The following is a 24060-nucleotide window of genomic DNA, read 5'->3' as shown; positions in this document are numbered from 1 at the left end:
TGAGAAGGCAGAGCTAGGGCAGGAGTGTGTGGAGGCTGGAGGGCCAGGAGAAGAGGCCAAACCATCTCCCTCAGGGCTCCAGGCCAAACCATCTCCCTCAGGGCTTGGGAGCCATGCCAGAGGGCCTGGCATAGTTGAAATGCTCATCTAAAGGCCAGGTGCAGTGGCTCATGCCTGTAATCCCAGCACTTTGGGAGGCTGAGGAGGATGGATCACCTGAGGTCAGGAGTTCGAGAGCAGCCTGGCCAACATGGCGAAACCCCGTCTCTACTAAAAGTAAAAATAAAAATTAGCTGGGTGCGGTGGCACACTCTGTAATCCCAGCTACTCGGGAGACTGAGGCAGGAGAATCGCTTGAACTCAGGAGGCAGAGGTTGCAGTGAGCCAAGATCGCACCACTGCACTCCAGCCTGGGTGACAAGAGAGAAACTCCGTCTCAAAAGAAAACAAAAAAGAAAAGAAAAGCAAAGCTCATCTATACAGTCACTGTTTGGACCTCAGAGTGCACTTGGCCAGAGAAGCAATATTTTGAATACAAACTGAGTTACCACGCTACCTACAGCTCAGTTAGATGGCTGGACACAGCGACTACGGGATTCCATCAGTCACCCTACTCTCACAGCCTGTCTACCTCCGTCCTATACAGGTTTTACTGACCCAGAATCCAACAAAGAGTAGGTGCTCAATAACTGTGGATGATTTTTGAGTGGTTCTAAATCTGAGCACTCCCATACTGTCTGAACAAATGACAGCTTGTGTCTGTGTCCCAAAGTGTGCCATCAGGAGCAGGCTCTCTAATGGACCATGCGTGTGAAGCAGCCTGTGTGTGAAGCAGGTTTGTAAAGAGAGCCACGTGGTGAGCTTGGTGGTGGCCAGAAGTCAGTGACCAGCCAGGAGGAAAGGAGCTTCAGGTAGACAGCTGATCTGAAGGCGGGGGCTGGGCCTGGGGGTTGGGGGTGGGAGGGCAGGTAGGAAAGAGGCCTGGACAGATCCAGGACCTGCCTCACCTCGGCCTGGCCATTCTGCCCTTAGAAACATTCCTATCTCAGGGCCCATTTCCTGCTTTCCTTCCTGAAAGCCTATGCAGGTCCTCCTCATGCCAGGGCCTATGTCCCCCGAGGCTGAAGGGAGGGCAGCAGGGTGCCTGGTGCTTCCTGGTGCCTCTATTTGCTGAATCTGGCCAAGCCACATGGAAGAACACACAGCTGGTGAGGAGCAGAGACTGCAGCTTCTGGAAATGGGATGGGAGTCGGCCCTTTCCTAATATCCCACACTGTCCAGAGCTGAGAAAGTAGATGCAAGGGTCGGGAAGATGGCAGAGAAAGCTGACCTTAAGCACAGAACCCCGCCTTGTAGTTCTGTACTTCATCAGCACCAGGAATGTGATGAGCCCCTGGGCTCTCAATTTTGTTTTGCAATTGAGATTTTTTTTTTAATTAAAAGAAATGATGTTCTTATGCCTCCTTTTAAACAGTTTCTCAGATATGGCTCAGCCCACAATGCACTTGGAGAGGTGTTGACCCGTCCTGAGCAGAGTTGAAACTGCCCTCCCTGGGGTGGGCAGTGAGCCTGAGAGCCCCAGCTGTTAGAAACCCTGGCTCTTCTCTCTCACTCTGCCCCCAGGGACAAATCATGCCATCTCTCTGGGTGTCAGTCTCTCCCTATAGTTCTGGAGAGCTGAGTTGGCATACCTCTGAGACCAGCAAAGTCATCATAAAAAGTTCCCATTATTGGGAATGAAGCAATTTCCCAGGTCCGTGGGAAGACTATGGAATTGGGTCACAAGTCACAGATGGAAAGGCATGGGCCACAGTGGGGGACTGGGTCCCTTCTTGGCAAGAACCCACCGGGACACAGTCCCTGCCTGTCATTCTGCCTTGCTGGCTGCAGGCCCAGGACCACCGGCCAGAAGCCATGAGAGATCAGGGCAGGACACGGGCAGCTTCAACGGTCACCCCAGACTGAGACACCACACGGGCCCGGGCCTCAGCCCCACTCTGCCCTGCTGCAGAGGCCATCTGCCTCCTGGCCTTGTGACTTCCTGCTGGGACTGAGCCCAGCACTAGCCCTGGCTGTATGGGCTGCAGCCTGGATCCCCATTCACCCTGACTGCTGACCCCTGACCCCTGAACCTCCTTGGGTTCCTGCCAACGTCTTTCTTCCAAGGCCAGGCCTGAAGTTTGGCAATCAAGACGCATGGATTTCTAGGATCTAGAAGTTTGGTCAGCCAAATCATTACCATCTAAATGACCCCCCAGGGTCCCCGTAATACATTTTAAACTTTTTAATTGAAGTATAACAGATATATATCCTAAGTATTCAGTCGGTGACTTATGCAAAGTGAGCACTAGGTCCTTTCATGTGCTGTAGGCCATTTGTATGTCTTCTCCAGAGAAATGCTTTGTCAGGTCCTTTGCCATTTTTGAATTGGGTTATGTGGGTTTTTTATTGTTGAGTTTTTGTTCTTTTTTTTTTTTTTTTTTTTTGAGACAGAGTCTTGCTCTGTCACCCAGACTGGAGTGCAGTGGCACCATCTCTGCTCACCGCAAGCTCCACCTCCTGGGTTCATGCCATTCTCCTGCCTCAGCCTCCCGAGTAGCTGGGACTACAGGTGCCCGCCACCATGCCCAGCTAATTTTTTGTATTTTTAGTAGAGACGGGGTTTCATCGTGTTAGCCAGGATGGTCTCAATCTCCTGACCTCGTGATCTGCCCGCCTCAGCCTCCCAAAGTGCTGGGATTACAGGCGTGAGCCAGCGCGCCCGCCGCTTTTTTTCTTTTTTTTTAGTGACAGTATCTTGCTCTGTCACCTAGGCTGGAGTGCAGTGGCGCAATTATAGCTCACTGTAGCCTCCAACTTCTGAGCTCAAGCAATCCTCCTATCTCAGCCTCTCAAGTAGCTATAACTACAGGCGTGTGCCACCATGCCTGGCTAATTTCTTTCTTTCTTTTCTTTCTTTCTTTCTTTCTTTCTTTCTTTCTTTCTTTCTTTCTTTCTTTCTTTCTTTCTTTCTCTCTCTCTCTCTCTCTCTCTCTCTTTCTTTCTTTCTTTCTTTCTTTCTTTCTTTCTTTCTTTCTTTCTTTCTGAGACGGAGTTTCACTCTTGTTGCCCAGGCTGGAGTGCAATGGTGCAATCTTGGTTCACCACAACCTCTGCCTCCCAGGTTCAAGCGATTCTCCTGCCTCAGCCTCCCAAGTAGCTGGGGTTACAGGCGCCCACCACCATGCCTGGCTAATTTTTTATATTTTTAGTAGAGATGGGATTTCACTGTGTTGGCCAGGCTGGTCTCGAACGCCTGACCTCATGATCTACCTGCCTCGGCCTCCCAAAGTGCTGGGATTACAGGCGTGAGCCACCATACCCACCCACCTAATTTCTACTTTTTATTTTTATTTATTCATTTATTTATTTTTGAGACAAAGTCTCACTGTGTCACCCAGGCTGGAGTGCTCACTGCAACCTCCACCTCCCGGGTTCAAGTGATTCTCGGGCCTAGCCTCCCAAGACCAGGAGGTGTGCACCACCATGCCTGGCTAATGTTTGTATTTTTAGTAGAAACGAGGTTTCCCCATGTTGACCAGGCTGGTCTGAAACTCATCTGCCCACTTGTCCTCCCAAAGTGCTGAGATTACAGGTGGAAGCCACCGTGCCTGGCCTTATTTTTATTTTTATCTTTTGTAGAAACAGGGTTTCACTATGTTGCTCAGCCTGGTCTTGAACTCCTGGCCTCAGGTGATCCATGGTGGCACAAGCCACTATGCCCAACCTCAGCTTTAATTCTTTATATGATAGCCTGCATATTAATCCCATATCAGATGTATGCTTTGCAATTATTTTGTCCCATTCTGTGGTCTTCCTTTTTTCTTGTGTTGCCCAGTCTGGACTCATCCTCCTGAACTGCTCTGCGGGCCCCACCCACAATGACAGAGCCTGAGGCCAGGCCTTTCTGAGCCTCCTTCTCTTGAGCTGCTGTCAACCTGGTTTCTCCAATCTTGTCTTTCATACAGGATTTCTTTATTAGTAGTATTTGCACAGTAGTTAAATTGGGAAACATAGGAATTTTAAGGAAAAGGAAAAAGGCACCCACAATTCTACCATGCCTACGAATAAAATCATTTTCTGTGCTGCCTTTGAATCTTTGTCTATGTTCATAGATTAATTTTAATAAACATTGTGGGGGTGCAGCTGAACCACTGAAGTTCTCTGCCTCGCACAGAGATCTTTGCCAGGGTCTCTTGTGGATTTGTTTTGTTTTGCTTTGTTTTTTGAGGCAAGGTCTCACTTTGTCACCCAGGCTGAAGTGCAGTGACGCAATCACAGCTCACTGCAGCCTCAAATGTCTAGGCTCAAGTGATCTCCCTACCTCAGCCTCATGAGTAGCTGAGACCATAAGCACGCACCACATACTCAGCCTCTTCTTCTTCTTTTTTTTTTAAATTTTCGTAGAATCGGGGTTTCTCCACCATGGCCAGGCTGATATTAAACTACTGAGCTCAAGCGATCCTCCTGCCTCAGCCTCCCAAAGTGCTGGGATTACAGGTGTGAGCCATCTCACATCTCACCCAGCCTCCTGTGTTTTTTTCAAATCTTGATTCATTTTCTCTCTTATTAGCCGTTCCGGCTGGCTTTAGTTTGTCTGCACATTTTATTTATTTATTTACTTATTTTTATGCTGAGGTTTTTGGGAGTTTTCAGGGGGACAGGGTTTCACTCTGTTGTCCAAGCTGAAGTGGCAATGTTGTAGTGTTGCCATCATTGCTTACTGTAACATCAAACTCCTGGGCTCTAGCAAACCTCCCGCTTCAGCCTCCCAAGTAGTTGAGACTATAGGTGCACACTACCACTCCTGGACAATTTTTTATTTTTTGTAGAGATATGGTCTCACCATATTGTCCAGGCTGGTCTTGAACTCCTAGCCTCAAGCAATCCTCCTGCCTTGGCCTCTCAACGCGTTTGTATAACAAGTGCAAGCCAGCCGGGTGCGGTGGCTCATACCTGTAATCCCAACACTTTGGAAGGCTGAGGCAAGTGGATCACCTGAGGTCATGAGTTCGAGACCAGCTGGACCAACATGGAGAAACCCCGTATCTACTAAAAATACAAAAATTAGCCGGGCGTGGTGACACATGCCTATAATCCCAGCTACTTGGTTGGGAGGCTGAGGCAGGAGAATTGCTTGAACCCGGGAGGCGGAGGTTGCAGTGAACAGAGATGTCGCCACTGCACTCTAGTGCAGTGGACAAGAGGGAAAGTGGGTGACAAGAGGGAAACTCTCTCTCAAAAAAAAAAAAAAAAAAAAAAAAAAAAAGGAAGAAGCCACTGTGCTCAGCACACATACTGAGTATTTTATTGTATGCTACTGCCTGTATATGTAAAACAATTACCCTTGTGAAATTGAAATTCATGAAAATTCAGAGAGGTAGATGGTAAGGACTGACAAAAGTAGAAGTTATGTATTATGGCACATGTGTTACAGGGATACGCTTTTATATAGTAGGCTTGAAATTTAGCTCTCTTTTGAATATTCAATGGTTCATGAGAAGCGGTTTGGGAACACACTTTCTGGGGTCTGAGGTATTTGTACCTGAAGAAACTCCAGGAAGCAGAGGGTCACGTTGAGCATTCTGCAGACAATTGTTTTAAGACTGCAGCTGCCTGGGAAGCTTTTACACAGTGGAGACCATCCTCTAGCCAGAGCATTTCAGCCACTTTCTTCATAGATACGATGCTGGAGGAACCAGACAGGGAGCAAACAAGAGCTGGGTCAATCTGTGGATCTGCACACTTTATAATCGTGTTTTATTCAAGTCTTAACTAGAGATGCTAAGTGGGACTTAGTGAGGATAGGCCTGCACCCTGCAGCAAGACCACCACAGTGCGGCACAGATGCTGGGCCCAGGTCACACAGGAGGCAATTCAAACTCAACCTGGAGAGAATAAGAGAAGTCAGACAGGGAGCCAGGACGGCAGGAAAGGATGCCCCATGGCACAGCGTGTGCAGGGACATGGGAGAGCGAATATGGGTTGAGCATCCCTAACCCAAAAATCCAAAATCGGAAATGCTCCCAAATCTGAAGTTTTGGGGTTGGTTGGTTGGTTTGTTTTTGAGACAGAGTTTCACTCCTGTCGCCCAGGCTGGAGTGCAATGGCATGATCTCAGCTCACTGCAACCTCCACCTCCTGGGTTCAAGAGATTCTCCAGCCCAGCCTCCCGAGTAGCTGGGATTACAGGCACACACCACCACACCCAGCTAATTTTTATATTTTTAGTAGAGATGGGGTTTCGCCATGTTGGCCAGGCTGGTCTCAAACTCCTGACCTCAGGTGATCCACCCACTTCAGCCACCCAAAGTGCTGGGATTACAGGTGTGAGCCACCCACCCCGGCCAAATCTGAAGCTTTGTGAGCAATGACATGATGTCACACATGGGTGGCTGAGATGATGGTTCAATGTATACAAACTTTGTTTCAGGCACAAAATTGTGAAAAATACTGTATAAAATTATCCTCCGGATATGTGTATAAGGTATACATGAAACAAATGAATTTGATGTTTAGACCTGAGTCTCATTCCCAAGACATCTCATTATGTATATGCAAATATTCCAAAATCCACAAAAATCTGAAATCCAAAACACTGCTGGTCCTAAGCATTTCAAATAAGGGATATTCAACCTGTAGTCCCGATTCTTCTTCCCGCATGTATTTCTATTTTCTCCTCACGTTTTCCCATATAGTTATTCGTTGCTGATCTCTTAACATCTACATTTGGAGGGAAGTGATCAAACTATAGTTGTGGGGCCGGGGGATTCTACAGTCGTGGGAAAGCAGATTCAGCGATCAACAACGTTCGCCAGAGGATGTGGACGAAACCACTGTGGAAAGGCCAACTTCCAACGCCTCTGACCTGGTGGTCAGCCCTGCAGATTTACTGAGTGAAAACAGCTGCCCATATGAGTATTACTTATAACAAACAAAAACCTGGAAACAACCTAAATCTTCAACCACAGAGCATGCAAATATATTACATCAGCTCATTTAAATTGGTAATCACTAAGACAACATTAAACATGGCACCATGTTTTCTCAATAATGTAAAGCAGGAGGAAAAACAGAAAACAATTTTGTTTCATTATACTATATGCAGCTACATACTATAATTACAATGTAAAAACAGATGTACATGTTAGTAGAAAGTAGAAGGAAACCAGAAAAAACAAAAATGAAGACAACAGGTGCACTAGGATGGTAAGATTGTGTATGAAATTTTGTTCACTTAAAATTGTCTGGCTAGGTGCAGTGGCTCACGCCTGTGATCCCAGCATTTTGGGAGGCCAAGGCAGGCAGATCATTTCAGGTCATGAGTTCGAGACCAGCCTGGCCAAAATGGTGAAACCCCGTCTCTACTAAAAATACAAAAATTAGCCAGGCATGGTGGTGGGTGCCTGTATTTCCAGCTACTTAGGAGGCTAAGGCAGGAGAATTGCTTGAACCCAGGAGGTGGAGGTTGCAGTGAGCCGAGATTGAGCCACTGCACTCCAGCCTGGGCAACAAGAGCAAAACTCCATCTCAAAAAAAAAAAAAAAAAAACAACGGAAATTTTCTGTAATATTTTAGTAAGGTTTTAATAAAATATACCTTAAAAATATTTGGCCGAGTGCAGTGGCTTGTGCCTATAATTCCAGCACTTTCAGAGGCCAAGGTGGGAAGATTGCTTGAGCACAGGAGTTTGAAACCAGTCTGGGAAACCCCCTCTCTACAAAATAAAAAATAAAAAAGTTAGCCAGGAATGGTAGTGTGCACCTGTGGTCCTAGCTACTCAGAAGGCTGAGGTGAGAGGATCACTTGAGCCCGGGAGGTAGAAGCTGCAGTGGACTGTAGTCGTGTCACTGCACTCCAGCCTGGGCGACAGAATGAGACCATGTCTCAAAAAAACAAAAAAAAAAAGTTCTACCTCCTAAACTAAAACTTGAATTAAAGAAGCAATTCAACCAGAGGAGGACAAAGAGGTGACAGATCTCACTGCTTATCTAACCTAGCAAGCAGGAAAATAACTATGCTGCTAATTTATCAAAAAGAGAGAAAGTAGAATCCTTGCCTGAGAGGAGTTTACCTTTTTGTACTCTGAAGACAGAAGAGCAAGACACATCTTGGAAATCATGGTATATTCAAGGCTTTGGTCAATGGGCTCTGCCCCTGACTGTTGTGCTCCATTTCTGATCAGCCATGTCCTGCAGCTCAGCAGCAGATGGTGTGGCCAGGCCCCTGATGGTGGGGACAGCCAGGGTGAGTGGCTGGAGGGAGTCAGGGGGCTGGTCACAGACACATGGAGTCTGAGACAGAGGCAGGATGTGTAGCTAGAGCCATGATGCATCACAAAGCGAATGGGAGAATCCAGTAGTGACAGAAACACTAGAGCTGTCGATATGGAAATGGCCCCATTGCAGAAACAGTGAAAGCTCAAAGAGGCCATAAGATGCTCAAGGGCAAGCATGAAGGAAAGATCAGGAAGCCCAAGGGGTGGCAGGACAGAAGCTGCAGTGGGAGGTGATTAAAGCAGGTGCACACAGTGGCACCGGGGCACGGGAACAGCTCTGCCAGGAACTGAGGCGACGAAAACCCAAGTCATTGTCAGCCAGGAAGGACCACACTGTCAAGAAGGCGCCTCCTGGGAGGGGCATGAGTGTGGTGGGGTGAGGTGGGCATCCAGGACCAGCCAAGGAGTGACGTCCAGGGTGCGCCACATGCGGTTCTTTCCCATGAGAAAGTTTCCATATACTGCTCACTTAACTGAAAAGATGGCACTCACACTTCAGAGTCTTGCAAGATGAGTGGGAGAAGCACATGAGAGATGCATAAGGGACCTTTGCTGAGAAGCAGGCGGGAACTGCTCAGCTGTAAACTACACCAAAGAGTCACCGGGACCCAGGGCCTACCTCCCAGCTCCCACCTGCAGGTGCATCCTTCTCAGCTTCTACACAGTTGATTCGATGCTGGAAGGTTTCCCATGCTCATGCTCCACTCCCCGTCCACCTTGCTGAAACTGCCTGAGTGCTGTCTTAATAAATACACATTTTCTTTATTTCTTACTCAAATTGAGGAGCCTCTCAACAGCTAGAAGTGGTTCATGGTTCTCCACTCCAGCTGCACATTAGACTCAATTGGAGAACTTTTGCAACATAGCAATGCCCCAGCTTCATCCCAGGTAATTAAATCAGAATGTGACAGATTCACTGGGTGATTCTGAGACGAGAACCGGGAATTCAGTGATACACTGTACATCCTTTGTGATATATTGGTAAATTAATAGGCTGTTATTAAGAATATCCTGAAGAGCCTCATGCAGTTTCTATAGAAACAGTATGGAGGTTTGGTTCCTCAAAAAAAAATTTTTTTTTTTTTAAGCAGAGTCTCGCTCTGTCGTCCAAGCTGGAGTGCAATGACATGATCTCTGCTCACTGCAACCTCTGCCTCCTGGGCTCAAGTGATCCTCCCACCTCAGCCTCCCAGTAGCTGGGATTATAGGCACCTGCCAAGACTAATTTTTGTATTTTTAGTAGAGACAGAGTTTCACCATGTTGCCCAGGCTGGTCTCGAATTCCTGGCCTCAACTGACCGTCCCATCTCAGCCCCCCAAGTAGCTGAGACTACAGGTGTGCATGTATTTTTTGTAGAGTCGGAGTTTTGCCATGTTGCCCAGGCTGGTCTTGAACTCCCAGGCTCAAGAGATACACCTGCTTTGACCTCTCCTCAAAAAATTAAAAACAGAACTACCATATGATCTGGCAATCCCACTGCTGGGTATTTATCCAAAAGAATTGAAATCAGGATCTTGAAGAGATGTCTGCACTCACTGTTCATAGCAATACTAGTCACAATCGCTAAGCTGTGGAAATAACCTAAATGTCCATTGATGGATGAAAGGACAAAGGAAATGTGGTGTGTAAATCCAATGACATATTAAAAAGAAAGGAAATTCTACAATATGCAGCAACACGGATGAACCTTGAGAACATTATGCTAAGTGAAATAAGCCATTACAATGTGGTTACCAGGGGCTAGGGGCAGGGGAAAAAGGGGAATTGCTAATCAATGCATATAAAGCCCTAGAGATCTTCTGTACATTTTCCCTATAGTTAACAATACAGTATTATGCACTTAAAAATCTGTTAAGAGGGTAGATACATTGTGTTCTTACTACAATTAAAAAATGTTTAAAGAATGTTTTTAAATAATAGTCTAAAGGAAATAAAAGATAAGCTACAAATAAGAGAAGACATAATCAACAAATGATTGCACTAATAACAGGTACAGGCAGGGTGAGGTGGCCCACACCTGTAATCCTAACACTTTGGGAGGCCAAGGCAGGAGGATCACTTGAGTCCAGGAGTTCAAGACCAACCTGGGCAACTGGGCACCTTGTCTCTACAAAAAATTAAAAAATAAAAATTAGGCTTGGGCATGGTGGCTCACGTCTGTAATCCCAGCACTATGGGAGGCCAAGGTGGGTGGATCACCTGAGGTCGGGAGTTCCAGACCAGCCTGACCAACATGGTAAAACCCCATCTCTACTAAAAATACAAAAATTAGCTGGGTGTGGTGGTGGGCACCTGTAATCCCAGCTACTCAGGAGGCTGAGGCAGGAGAATCACTTGAACCCAGGAGGTGGAAGTTGCAGTGAGCCGAGATCGCACCACTGCACTCTAGCCTGGGCGACAAAGCAATACTCTGTCTCAAAATAAAATAAAATTTAATTTAATTTAAAAATAAAAATAAAAATTAGCCAGGCATGGTGACACATGCATGTAGTCCCAACTACTCAGGAGGCTAAGGCAGGAAGATCACTTGAGCCCAGGAGTTCAAGGCTGCAGTGCTGTAATTACACCACTGCACTCCAGCCTGGGTGACGGAGTAAAACTCTGTCCTCAAAAAATTAAAAATTAGAGGCAGTTGGATCACTTGAGGCCAAGAGTTTGAGACCAGCCCGGTCAACACAGCGGAACCCCGTCTCTATTAAAAATACAAAAATCAGTCGGGCATGGTGGCGCATGCCTATAATCCCAACTACTTGGGAGGCTGAGGCAAGAGATTCATTTGAACCCAGGAGGCAGAGGTTGCAGTGAGCTGAGATCGCACTATTGCACTCCAGCCTGGGTGACAGAGGGAGGCTCTGTCTCAAACAAAACAAAACAAAACAAAACAAAATTTTTTTTTTGAGACGGAGTTTTGCTCTTGTTGCCCAGGCTGGAGTGCAATGGCACGATCTCGGCTCACCGCAACCTCTACCTCCCAGGTTCAAGCAATTCTCCTGCCTCAGCCTCCCTAGTAGCTTGGATTACAGGCATGTGCCCCTATGCCCGGCTAATTTTGTATTTTTAGTAGAGGCGGAGTTTCTCCATGTTGGTCAGGCTGGTCTCGAACTCCTGACCTCAGGTGATCCATCCGCCTTGGCCTCCCAAAGTGCTGGGATTACAGGCATGAGCACCACGCCCAGCCAACAAACTTTTAATTAAAAAAATATTTAAAGAACATGTGGCCGGGCACAGTGGCTCATGCCTGTAATCCCAGCTCTTCGGGAGGCTAAGGTGGGTGGATCACGAGGTCAGCAGATCGAGACCATCCTGGCTAACATGGTGAAACCCCATCTCTACTAAAAATACAAAAAATTAGCCGCGCGTGGTAGTGGGTGCCTGTAGTCCCAGCTGCTCGGGAGGCTGAGGCAGGAGGATTGCTTGAACCCCAGAGGCGGAGGTTGCAGTGAGCCAAGATCGCGCCACTGCACTCCAGCCTGGGCGACAGAGCGAGACTCCGACTCAAAAAAAAAAGAACAGGTACAGAATTCCTAGCCCTATTTTTTTAAATGGGCAAAAGACATGAAGAGGCATTTCACCAAAGGGGGAACACATACAGCCAACAGGCACTCAGAGGGATGCTTGGCCTCCTCAGTAATCAGGGAAATGTAAACCAAGATAAGAGATAGTACTTTTCATTCATTCCACTGGCAATAATTAAAAATCTGACAATGCCAAGAGCTGAAAAGGTTCTGGATTAAAGACATCACTTATATATACATGAGGGAAGTGAAAAGTTATAATGATATGGGAAAACCACTGGGCATTTTCTCACAAACTCTGAAATTCACATGCCTGACAACTCAGAAAACCACTCTCAGGTGCGTACCTATGACAAGCCCCACACATCTGCCGCAGGAGACAAGTTCCACTGAGTGAGAACATTCACAACCCTATGCCCATGGGCAGATGATATGGTGGTGATATTTGCTCATGATGAAATAATATACAACCCAGGAGGCGGGGGTTGCAGTAAGCCGAGATCACGCCACTGCACTCAGCCTGGGCAACAAAGTGAGACTCTGTCTAAAAAATAAAAAAAAGAAAAGAAATAGTATACAGTGGTGAACATTAATTAACTTTAGCTAAACACAAAAAGCATGGGTAAACTTTTAAACCATAATGTGGAGTGAAAAAAATCAAGTCCATCAAGCATATGTAATGGTTAATTTTATGCATCAACTTGGCTGAGCCATGGCACCCAGTTTTTGGTCAGACGCTAGTCTTGTTACTGTGAAAGTATTTTTTAGATGAATTAACATTTAAGTCAGTAGCATTTGAGGAAAACAAATGAGCCTCCATATTGCGTGGGCCTCATCCAATCAGTTGTAGGCCTTAAGAGAAAAGACTGAAGTTCCCAAAGAGGGAATTCTGCCTCAAGAAGGCCTTCAGACTCAAGCTGCAACATCTAACATCAACTCTTCCCTGCATCTCCAGCCCAACAATCCGTCCTGCACATTTGGGGCTTGTCAGCCCCTATAATCATGTGAGCCAATTCTTTTTTTTTTTTTTTTTTGAGATGGAGTTTCGCTCTTATTGCCCAGGCTGGAGTGCAATGGCGTGATCTTCACTCACTGCAACCTCTGCCTCCAGGGTTCAAGTGATTCTCCTGCCCCAGCCTCCCAAGTAGCTGGGATTACAGACATGCGCCACCACACCCAGCTAATTTTGTATTTTTGGTAGAGATGGGGTTTCACTATGTTGGTCAGGCTGGTCTCGAACTCCTGACCTCCAGTGATCCACTCATCTTGGCCTCCCAAAGTGCTGGGATTACAGGCATGAGCCACTGTGCCCGGCCTGTGAGCCAATTCTTTACTGAAATCTCCCAGATAGATACATAGATGGATAGGCAGATGGACACCCAGCTCGGTGGTTCACACTTGTAATCCCAGCACTCTGGGAGGCCAAGGCTGGTGGATCACCTGACGTCAGAAGTTCGAGACCAGCCTGGCCAACATGATGAAACCCTGTCTCTACTAAAAATACAAAAACTAGCCAGGCGTGGTGGTGTGCGCCTGTAATCCCAGCTACCCAGGAGGCTAAGGCAGGAGAATCTCTTGAGCCTGGGAGGTGGACGTTGCAGTGAGCCAAGATTGCACCATTGCACTCCAGCCTGGGTGACAGAGTGAGACTCCATCTCAAAAAAAAAAAAAAAAGGCAGATGGATAGATATCCTATTGGTTCTGCTTCTCTTGAGAACGCTGACTAATACAATGTATAATATGATTCTCTTTTTATAATGTTTAAAAAATAAAACTAAATGATTTTTTAAAAATAATTTAGGATTTTGGCCACCTGAGAGGTGGGGGAAGAATAAAATATGGAAGGAAGACATATAGTAGATTTGAATTATTGTCAGTGTTCTAGTTCTTGAGTTGGCTGGTAATTCAAGAAGTTTTATGAAAACATTATTAGCAAATGAATGAATGAATAAATGGATTAACAATGAGAGTGTATCATGAACCAAAGATTTTGATCAGTCTAATCCTGTGCATAAAATAAAAATTTCATGTTACACATCAGTATGCATGGTTGGATCTTAGTTATGTAATACAAATATATATACATATATATATTTATACACCCATATATGTGTAAATTTGCATTTAAAATTTTGCATAGGAAAAACTCAGAAGGCTAGACACTAATATCTCTGTGTAGCACGCAGCATTCTGAATCATTTACATGTTCTTATTTTGTTTCTTTTCTGAAATTTCAAAATTTTCTACAATAAAAGCATATTTGTCAAAGGAGAACACATTTTTATTTTTTATTTTTTATTTATTTATTTTTTTTGAGATGGAGTCTTGCTTTTGTTGCCCAGGCTGGAGTGCAGTGGCACGATCTTGGCTCACTGCAACCTCTGCCTCCCAGGTTCAAGCGATTCTCCTGCCTCAGCCTCCCGAGTAGCTGGGATTACAGGCGCCCACCACCATGCCCAGCTAATTTTTGTATTTGTAGTAAAAACGGGGTTTTGCAATGTCGACCAGGCTGGTCTCGAACTCCTGACCTCGTGACCTGCCCACCTCAGCCTCCCAAAGTGCTGAGATTACAGGCGTGAGCCACCACGCCCAGCCAAGAACACATTTTTAAATAGGAGAAGAAACATAGTGACATCATCAGGATGTTCTGTTGAAACTCAGTTATGATTGTCTAATGTGCGTTCATTTTCATGTTTAATGAATGGAAAGTTGAAAATTGTGTACTACTTTTCAATTTAATTCCATTAAATATTTAGTGAGTGTTTACAACGAAGATACAAAAATAAGAGATAGTCCCTGACCCTAAGGAGTTTGCAAGTATGCAGGAAAAGAAGACTTCAGAAATAGCTGCATCCTAAGGCAGAACATGGTAAATGCTTAAGAGTATACCAGAGGGCTGTGTGTCTCTGTCCAGAGAGAACTCACCATGGCTCAGAGGCCCTTAGAAGATCTTCATAGAGATTCTAAATAGGCAAGGGACCAATTACAAGGATTTCATGCTAAACTAGACAGTGAAAACGAAAAGAATACAATGGGAAAAAGAGCACTAACAAAATTTATTTTAAATCATTTTTAAAACATTTCAAGAAGTTGAAGGTTTCTTTTTACTTTTTATTTTTACATAATTTCAGACTTTGAGAAAAGTTGCAAGAACAGCACAAAGAATTTCTGTATATGGCTGGGCATGGTGGCTCATGCCTATAATCCTAACACTTTGGAAGGCTGAGGCTGGAGGATCACCTGAGTTCAGGGGTTCAAGACCAGCCTGGCCAACATGGCAAAACTCTGTCTCTACTACAAACACAAAAATTAGCTAGGCGTGGTGGCGCGTGCCTGTAATCCCAGCTACTCGGAAGACTGAGGCGGGAGAATCACCTGAACCCAGGAGGCAGACGTTGCAGTGAGCCGAGATCACACCACTGCACTCCAGCCTGGGCAACAGAGTGAGACTCCGTCTCAAAAAAAATATATAAATAAATAAATAAAATAAAAAGAATTTCTGTATATCCTTGTTAAAAAAAAAAGCTTTAGAAACAAGTTTAACAGTTTATCTGAGTAAATAACAATTCCTGAATCAATTAGCACTCAGAATCAGAAGAGGTTCAGGGCCGGGTGAGGTGGCTCATGCCTGTAATCTCAGCACTTTGGGAAGCCGAGGCAGGCACATCACAAGGTCAGGAGATAGAGGCCATCCTGGCTAACACGGTGAAACCCCGCCTCTACTAAAAGCACAAAAAATTAGCCAGGCATGGTGGTGGGCGCCTGTAGACGCAGCTACTCGGGAGGCTAAGGCAGGAGAATGGAGTGAACCTGGGAGGCGGAGCTTGCAGTGAGCCAAGATTACGCCACTGCACTCCAGCCTGGGCGACAAAGCCAGACTCCATCTTAAAAAAAAAAAAAAAAAAAAAAGGAGAGGTTCAGGGACCTCTGCCTGGCAGTGAACAGTGAGCTTTTATAGGCTGAACACAAAAATAAAGAAATCACTTGATTGGCTACAGCCAGGCATCTGCCTTATTTGGGCATGGTATGATGAGTTGGCGGCCTGTCATTTGCTGAAGCTTGGCTGTTGTGATTGGCTGAAATCTGGCTATTTATTACAAAAAACATACTCTTAAGTTTTGGTTTCTTTATATACTAAGTTAGGTTGCATTGTATTATGCCGGAATTCAAAAAACAGAGACAGCCTCAGGCTAATGGCCTCCTGCTTATTTAAATTTTTTTGGAGACAAGGTCTCACTCTGTTGCCCAGGCTGGCCTGAGCTCAAGTGGTCCTCCCACCTCGGCCTCCCAAAGTGCTGGGAGTACAGGTGTGAGCCACCACACCCAGCCAGCATATTTAATTTAACACCCTTTACCATTCTCCAACTGTTAATACTTTCCCACGTTTGCTTTATCATTCTCTGTGAATGTGTATGCCTTTTTCTGAATGAGTGTAAATTGCAGCAATTATGTCTCTTTCATTTCTAAATACTTCAGTGTGTATTTCCTAAAAACAAAGATATTACCTTACATAACCAAAGTACAATTATCAAAATCAGGAAATTAACATTAACACAGTGTTATTATCTGATTTACAGACCTTAATGTTTGTTATGGCAAAGAAGAGCCCAAACACATACTGTCATTACTTCTCTTAATTTTCCTTTAATCTGAAACCATTCTTCAGTTTTTCTCTTTCATGACACTGACATTTTTGTAGTTATTTCATAGCCTGTGGTTTTGTGGAATTTCCCCCAATGTGAGTTTGTCTGCTATTTCCTCCTGATGAGACTCAGGTTTTGCATTTTGTGTGGAAATACTAAAGAAGTGATGCTATGTCCTTCTTGGTGATCGTATCAGGAGGTTCATGATGCCCATGTGTCCCATTTCTGCTGCTGTTAACTGTGATCACTGGGATAAGGCAGTGAATGCCAGGTTTATCACTGTAGAGTTGCTAATTTTCCTTCTGTAATTAATATGTACTTCTGGGGAGACTATGTAATTTTTTTTTTTTTTGAGACAGAGTCTCACTCTGTCGCCCAGGCTGGAGTGCAGTTGCACAATCTCAGCTCACTGCAACCTCTGCCTCCCAGGTTCAAGCGATTCTCCTGCCTCAGCCTCCCGAGTAGCTGGGATTACAGGCACGCGCCACCATGCCAAGCTAATTTTTTTGTATTTTTAGTAGAGATGGGGTTTCACCATGTTGGTCAGGTTGGTCTCAAACTCCTGACCTCGTGATCCACCCACCTCGGCTTCCCAAAGTGCTGGGATTACAGGCGTGAGCCACCACGCCTGGCCAATGTATATATTTTTACTCAGCAAACTTTAACCCACTGGTTTCAAATTCCATCATTTTTCCCATATTTATCATGTGGCATTCTATTATAAGGAAGAACGATTCTTGCTCTCATTTATTTATGTATATCAGCACGTATACATGAATCCTTATTTTATTCAGTAGCTGATATTCTCTTGCTATTATTATTTATTTCATGATTAAATTGTCCCAGATTTAGCCAGCAGGAGTGTCCCTTTGCCTGTTGCTATCATTATTTATTTCAAGACTAAATTGTCACAGATTTAGCCAGCAAGAGTGTCCCTTTGACATGTCCCCTCGTTTTTTTGTTTTTTTGTTTGTTTTGTTTTGTTTTTTTGAGAGAGTCTCACTCTGTCGCCCAGGCTGGAGTGCAGTGGCACAATCTCGGCTCACTGCAAGCTCCGCCTCCCGGGTTCACGCCATTCTGCTGCCTCAGCCTCCTGAGTAGCTGGGACTACAGGCGTCCGCCACTATGCCCAGCTAATTTTTTGTATTTTTAGTAGAGACGGGGTTTTACCGTATTAGCCAGGATGGTCTTGATCTCCTGACCTCGTGATCCGCCCGCCTTGGCCTCCCAAAGTGCTGGGATTACAGGCATGAGCCACTGCACCCGGCCATCCCTCCTTTTTTTAAAGACTTACTTTCTGACACAAGATATTCCAGGCTCAATTTATGTTTTCTCTTCTCTAACCCAAAATCAGTCATTTCTCCAAGGAGCTCTGGTTCCTTTTAGAGCATGGTATCAACAAACCAAGATCTGGGTCCCAGTTGTGCTTGTTCCCCCCGAGGCCATCATTGCTTCTAGCACACATACATGTGTTCAAATATACACGCACCCATACCTATGTGGCCGTGTGTATTTCTATATCTGTATGCATATGAATTTGCATATGTATGTATTTCTATATCTGTCTGCATGAGTGTGAATTCGCTTATGTGTGTACTCCCATATCTGTGTGTAAATATGCATATGTGTATTTTTTTTTTTGAGACAGGTCACTCTGTTGCCCAGGCTGGAGTGCAGTGGCGCGATCTCAGCTCACTGCAACCTCTGCTTCCTGGGTTCAAGTAATTCTCCTGCCTCAGCCTCCCGAGTAGCTGGGATTACAGGCATGCGCCATGACACCCAGCTAATTCTTTTTGTATTTTTAGTAGAGACTGGATTTTGCCATGTTGGCCAAGCTGGTCTTGAACTCCTGACTTCAAGTCATCTGCCCACCTCGGCCTCCCAAAGTGCTGGGATTGCAGGCGTGAGCCACTGCGCCCAGCCAAATTTCTATATCAATCTCTGTGTGTGTGTGTGCATGTAATGAAATCATGAGCTCCTACCAATATCTCTAAATCTAATCCAACCATAAGGTTTGTCCTAATCTTCCCTCTTTCTGTATTTTAACTTCCTTCAGTTAAAGATGTTTTTAAAGGTCATGGATATAGTTCAGGCTGTTATCATTAATGACAGCATCCAGAAACCCTGCCCCTCCATCACATGGCCTTGTTTTGTGCTCAGCACAGACTTGGGCATTGTCCAGCCTGTGCGAGACCCTTGCTCTAATCAGGCAGAAGGGCAGACGGAGTAACCAGGCAGGGGTCTGGTTCTGAGCCAGAAGGCCCTTCTGGAAGGTTCAGGGGAGGCAGAAATAGAATCCCCAGGAAATGAGGGGTTCCAGTGGAGCAGGGGGAGCGCTAGGATTTTCTGAGTGAGATGAGAAGCAAGAACAGATGGGCTGTTGGCTGTCTCCACAGAAAGACCACAAGTGACCTATGGGCGCTTGGAAAGGTCAAACCTGTTCCCCACAGCAGCTGGGACCAGAGCCCCTGACTGGAGGCTTTGTTGGCACAACAGCTGGCCCTGGCCAGGGGTCAGGGGCAGCTGGGAGTCTAGGAGGAGGCTTCTCATACTCAGCTGTTGGCTGAGAGACAGGGCATGAAGGGCAGAAGCCACCCCACAGAAGGCCATGTGTGTAAGTCCTTCCCCTATTGTTTCAGGATATAAATGAGTGGGTTCAAACACCAGTGACCCTGGTTATGACTGCCTCAGACCTGCTTATTCATCACCAGCTGATATGCTTTCCAACCACTATGTTCCTAGGCATCCTGTTCCCTTGAAGATCATTGCATTTGGGGGTTTCAACTCCCTCATCCAAGTACATCTGTGTTTTATTTGCAGGTTCTCTCCACCCAACATTAGCTGAAACCAGTAGAGTCTTATAGAATATGGAGCCAGCCAGGAGATTTATGGAGAAAGCTCAACCATATTCATGAATAACATCAATAACAGCAGCAACATATTTGAGCATGGATGTACCAAACACATCCACAAGTGGCCTGCACACAATACCTTCCTTACTGCTCAGGCAGCTCTGTAAGGTGCAAGTGCCTGCCCTCCAGGAGGGCATGACCCACAGAAGTGAAGTAACTTGTCCCAGGAACACTGGGCAGTGAAGGTTTGGAATGTTTCAAGGCTCCAGTTTTTTGTTTGTTTGTTTGTTTGTTTGTTTGTTTGAAACAGAGTCTTACTCTGTCATCCAGACTGGAGTGCAGCGGCACAATCTCTGCTCACTGCAACCTCTGCCTCCCGGGCTCAAGCAATTCTCCTGCCTCAGCCTCCCAAGTAGCTGGGATTACAGGTGCCCATCACCATGCCCGGCTAATTTTTGTATTTTTAGTAGAGACGAGGTTTCACCGTGTTGGCCAGGTTGGTTTCAAACCCCTGACCTCAAATGATCCGTCTGCCTCTGCCTCCCAAAGTGCTGGGATTACAGGCGTGAGCCACACGCAGGGCCTCAAGGCTCCAGTCCTTTAACATATCAATCTTCCAGGGGCTCATGAGGCCCCCAGGGAGCACTAGGTGAGTGCAGACTCCACAGGGCACAGCAACTGTGCCTAACGCAGCTTCCCAACCTCTGGGCGTGCCAGAAGAGGAACTACAAATCATGGAGGGCAGCTGATTTGATTGATAAGCCCTGAGGCTGAGAACTCCGCTTCCTGGAACCCAATACTAACACAAGGAATTGATTTTCTACCTTACATAAGACAAAAATCCCCAGAATAAACGGCAGGTGTGGGCCTTCTGCCCAGAGCCAGAATTAGGCAATCTCTTTAGACTGTGCAAGATGCACAAACTTCCTTTCAGCCACACAAATCCAAAAAACATCACTGGAGGCTTCAAAGCAAGCCAGCTGGATACTTGGCCCAGAGTGTCAAGCTGCAAAGCATTTGCAGCACGGGGTGCCTGGCCTGGGAATCTCAGTGTCAGCACCCGCTAGGATGGCATATCCTGGACACCAGTTTCTCCTAACTGTCATCTTGTCTTGTTCCCTCTAGTTCAGTTTAATGCCTGATGGGCAGGAAAGGCAAAGAAGACTGCAGCTTCTAAGCAGCTCAAAGCAGGAGGGCCCAGGAAGCACATATGCAGTCTCCATCCATCGCAATCCCCTTTTGACCATCCCCAAGCTCTCCTGCCAGCCTGTCCCTGACCCTGGGACCTTCAACCATCTCCTCGTCCTCTTCTCAGCATCAGGCACAACAGGCAACGTCTCACTCACTACGGGAAGTTGAGCCAGCCAGGACGTGAGGAGTTTTCAGATTGTGGTCAGGAAGCACTCCCGGCAAACACAAATGGGGACAAACTACAAAATAATCGGCCTTCATATTTCAAAATGTCACTCATGTGAAAGACAAAGAGAGACCCAGGGATGGCTCCAGATTAAAGAGAGTGGGGTAGCTGGGCGCGGTGGCTCACATCTGTAATCCCAACACTTTTCGAGGCCAAGGTGGGCAGATCACCTGAGGTCAGGAGTTTGAGACGAGCCTGGCCAATATGGTGAAACCCCATCTCTACTAAAATTACAAAAGTTAGCCGGGCATGGTGGCACACACCTGTAATCCCAGCTACTCAGGAGGCTGATGCAGGAGGGTCGCTTGAACCTAGGAGGTAGAGGTTGCAGTGAGCCAAGATAGCGCCACTGTACTCCAGCCTGGGTGACAGAGTGAGACTCTGTCTTAAAAAAGAAGTGGTGGTTGGGGGTGGGCCTGTGGCAGTTAATGCTGCAAAAGTCTCCTTTGCTGTAGAGGATGCAATCAAGACACTTGGTGAAATCTGAATAATAAAGTCTGCAGATTAGACAACATTGTCAGATCTGTGCTGGTTTCTCGATTTTGATTGTTGTGCTCTAGATAGGTGAGAGAATGACCTTGAATAGACACTGAAGTGTTTAAAGGTAAGTGGTCATCATATTTCAGTTTATTCTCAAATGGTTCAGGAGAAAGAAAAATGTCAAATAGCGTGTGTGTGTGTGTGTGTGTGTGTGTGTGTGTGTGTGTGTGTAGAGACAGAGATGAAGAAACATAAAGATGAAAAGCGTAATGACACAAACACCGTGATGTTAACATTTTGGGGAATCTGTGTGAAGAATACTATTATTGCAGCTGTTCTGTAAGTTTACATTTTAAGTTTAAAAGGAAGGCCGAGCTCATGCCTGTAATCCAACTTTGGGAGGCCAAAGCGGTTAGATTGCTTGAGCTCAGGAGTTCGAGACCAGCCTGGGCAACATGGCAAAACCCCATCTCTACAAAAAATATTTTAAAAATTAACTGGGTGTGGTAGCACATGCCTGTAATCCCAGCTACTCTGGGAGCTGAGGTGGGAGGATTGCTTGAGTCCAGGAGGCAGAGGCTGCAGTGAGCAGAGATCACGCCATTGCACTCCAGCCTAGACAACCGAGCGAGAACATGTCTCAAAAATAAACAAGTAAAAAGTCTACAAGGAAAAGCAATGAGGGAAAAAAGGCGTGCCCACCCTGCAATGTGCAAACCCTTCCTCATTCTCCAGGCCTGGTTCTCCTGAATGCCCAGCTTTGTCTGCCCATGGCTGGCCATCTGAGGCTACTGTCCCCAGGATCTGGCACCCCCACAACCATCTCCCAGCCCTGGCAAGGCCCACTTCCATCTGCTGCCTCCAGCCCAGACTCCCAGCTCCTCCAAGGTGCAGATCTAGCCCATCCTGCTTCTGCCCTAGTCTTGGCCAGGCCCTGGGGCTGTTCAGCAGGCTTTTAGTCCAGCCCAGGCCTCACAGGTCTTTGCAGCCTCCTCCTTAGTGTGGCCTCACTCTTAGGCCCTTTCACCAAGAACTCCTCCAACTTCCCTCCTCTCCACTGGAAGCTCCAGTATCTCCTTTTCTCTCCTTGATCTCAGAAGAAAAAGGATGCCTTCTCATGTTCTAGGACCCAATTCCTTTCCTGAGTGCCCAACTTCTGTGCCTACTCCAGGCCTCACTGAGAGGCTTCTGTCATGACCCCTCAGCACCCCTCTCCTCTCCTCAGCCTCAGAGCTGGCTCAGGTTTCTCTGGGGTAAAACAGCCTTCATCCTGCCTTCCTTTGCCAGTACCCATCTTTTGTCACCTTCTGCCACATGAAATACCTCCTCAATCTACACTTCCTGCCCCTGCATTTACTTGTGAGCGTTCTGACATCTGGCTTCCATCCCCTGGGGCCCCAAAGTGACACAGTGTCAGAGACACAGAATTTAGAATCAGAAGACTCGAGTTCCAGTCTCTGCTCCACCTCCTAAGAGCTGGGTGATTTGTGATGTGTTTCCAAAACTTGTGGGAAGCCCAAGTACATAGTTCATATACAGCTCACTATGAACTATCACCTGTGACCTCACAGTCTTCTGACCCCTTGGCCTTTCTCTCTCCTCATCCTCTTCATCTTTCCCTGATTTCCCCACACAACCCTCTCTGAGCCTGATGTCCACTCCACCTGTCTGCTGGTGGCTCCCAAACCTGCATCTCTGTTACTTGCCTCTTTTCTGGACTCTGATTCTCTGAGTTCCAGAGACACTTGGAAATATCCTCTCAGGCATTCGGCCAGCTCCTCAAATTTAACATGCCAACAGTGAGATCCATCCTCAATTACGCTCAAATTGCCAAAAAGCAGTCAAAGCAGGGACTCAAGGCCACTAAGAAGTAAAAAACTTCTGAGGAAAGTATTTGATATTCCAAAAATGCATCAAAGCAGCTCATCCTGTTATGTGCCATGTATTGTGAATTACACAGGGGAGAAGTACCTAACATCTGCAGCAAGGGGAACTGTGAAAGCCTCAATTCAGTGTTTGATATCATCTTCATCTAAAGAGTTCATCCTCTTAGCCTTATTTTGCTAAGGTTAGCCTTGGTCCCTCATCATCTGAGCACCTACTTCAAAATAATCCTCGGCCAGGCACGGTGGCTCACGCCTGTGATACCAGCACTTTGGGAGGCCAAGGCCGGCGGATCACAAGGTCAGGAGTTTGAGACCAGCCTGACCAACAGTGAAACCCTGTCTCTACTAAAATTACAAAAATTAGCCAGGTGTGGTAGCACACACCCATAGTCCCAGCTACTCGGGAGGCTGAGGTAGGAGAATCACTTGATCCTGGGAGGCAGGTGGCAGTGAGCCGAGACCGTGCCATTACACTCCAGACTGGGCGAAAGAGTGAGACTCCACCTCAAAAAATAAAATAAAAATAAAAAAATAAAAAATAGGTCAGGTGTTGTGGCTCACGCCTGTAATCCCAGCACTTTTGGAGGCCAAGGCAGGTGGATCATGAGGTCAGGAGTTCAAGACCAGCCTGGCCAAGATGGTGAAACCCCGTCTCTGCTAAAAATACAAAAATTAGCCGGGCACAGTAGTGGGCGCCTGTAATCCCAGCTACTTGGGAGGCTGAGGCAGGAGAATCGCTTGAACCCGGGAGGTGGAGGTTGCAGTGAGCCGAGATCACGCCACTGCATTCTAGCCTGGGTGACAGAGAAGACTGTCTCGAAAATGAAAATAAAAATAAATAAATAAATAAATAATAAAAAATAATAATCCGGCTGGGTGTGGTGGCTCATGCCTGTAATCCCAGCACTTTGGGAGGCCAAGGCAGGCAGATCATGAGGTGAGGAGTTCA

At 46.3% G+C, this 24060-nt stretch overlaps 1 long non-coding RNA gene across 1 annotated transcript, besides 2 other annotated features; it reads right to left on the bottom strand.

Moving 5' to 3' along the window:
• Positions 1503–2002: an enhancer, noted in NCBI's record as "H3K4me1 hESC enhancer chr7:44951703-44952202 (GRCh37/hg19 assembly coordinates)". NCBI's record gives its function as "activates a minimal SCP1, AML or CMV promoter by ChIP-STARR-seq in primed H9 embryonic stem cells {active_cell/tissue: H9 hESC(primed)}" and the evidence as "EXISTENCE:reporter gene assay evidence [ECO:0000049][PMID:30033119]".
• Positions 2003–2504: an enhancer, noted in NCBI's record as "H3K4me1 hESC enhancer chr7:44951201-44951702 (GRCh37/hg19 assembly coordinates)". NCBI's record gives its function as "activates a minimal SCP1, AML or CMV promoter by ChIP-STARR-seq in primed H9 embryonic stem cells {active_cell/tissue: H9 hESC(primed)}" and the evidence as "EXISTENCE:reporter gene assay evidence [ECO:0000049][PMID:30033119]".
• On the bottom strand, positions 5326–9405 carry LOC105375262 (uncharacterized). Its single transcript, XR_927228.2, has 2 exons — positions 8114–9405; positions 5326–5728 (listed from the first exon to the last, which is right to left on the bottom strand). It is a non-coding gene; the product is annotated as an uncharacterized LOC105375262 (long non-coding RNA).
• Between the last annotated feature and the right edge of the window lie 14655 nt (positions 9406–24060).

The sequence above is a fragment of the Homo sapiens genome, chromosome 7 (assembly GCF_000001405.40).
Source record: "Homo sapiens chromosome 7, GRCh38.p14 Primary Assembly".
NCBI classification, from domain to species: domain Eukaryota; kingdom Metazoa; phylum Chordata; class Mammalia; order Primates; family Hominidae; genus Homo; species Homo sapiens.
This window is presented reverse-complemented; position numbering and strand designations above follow the sequence as displayed.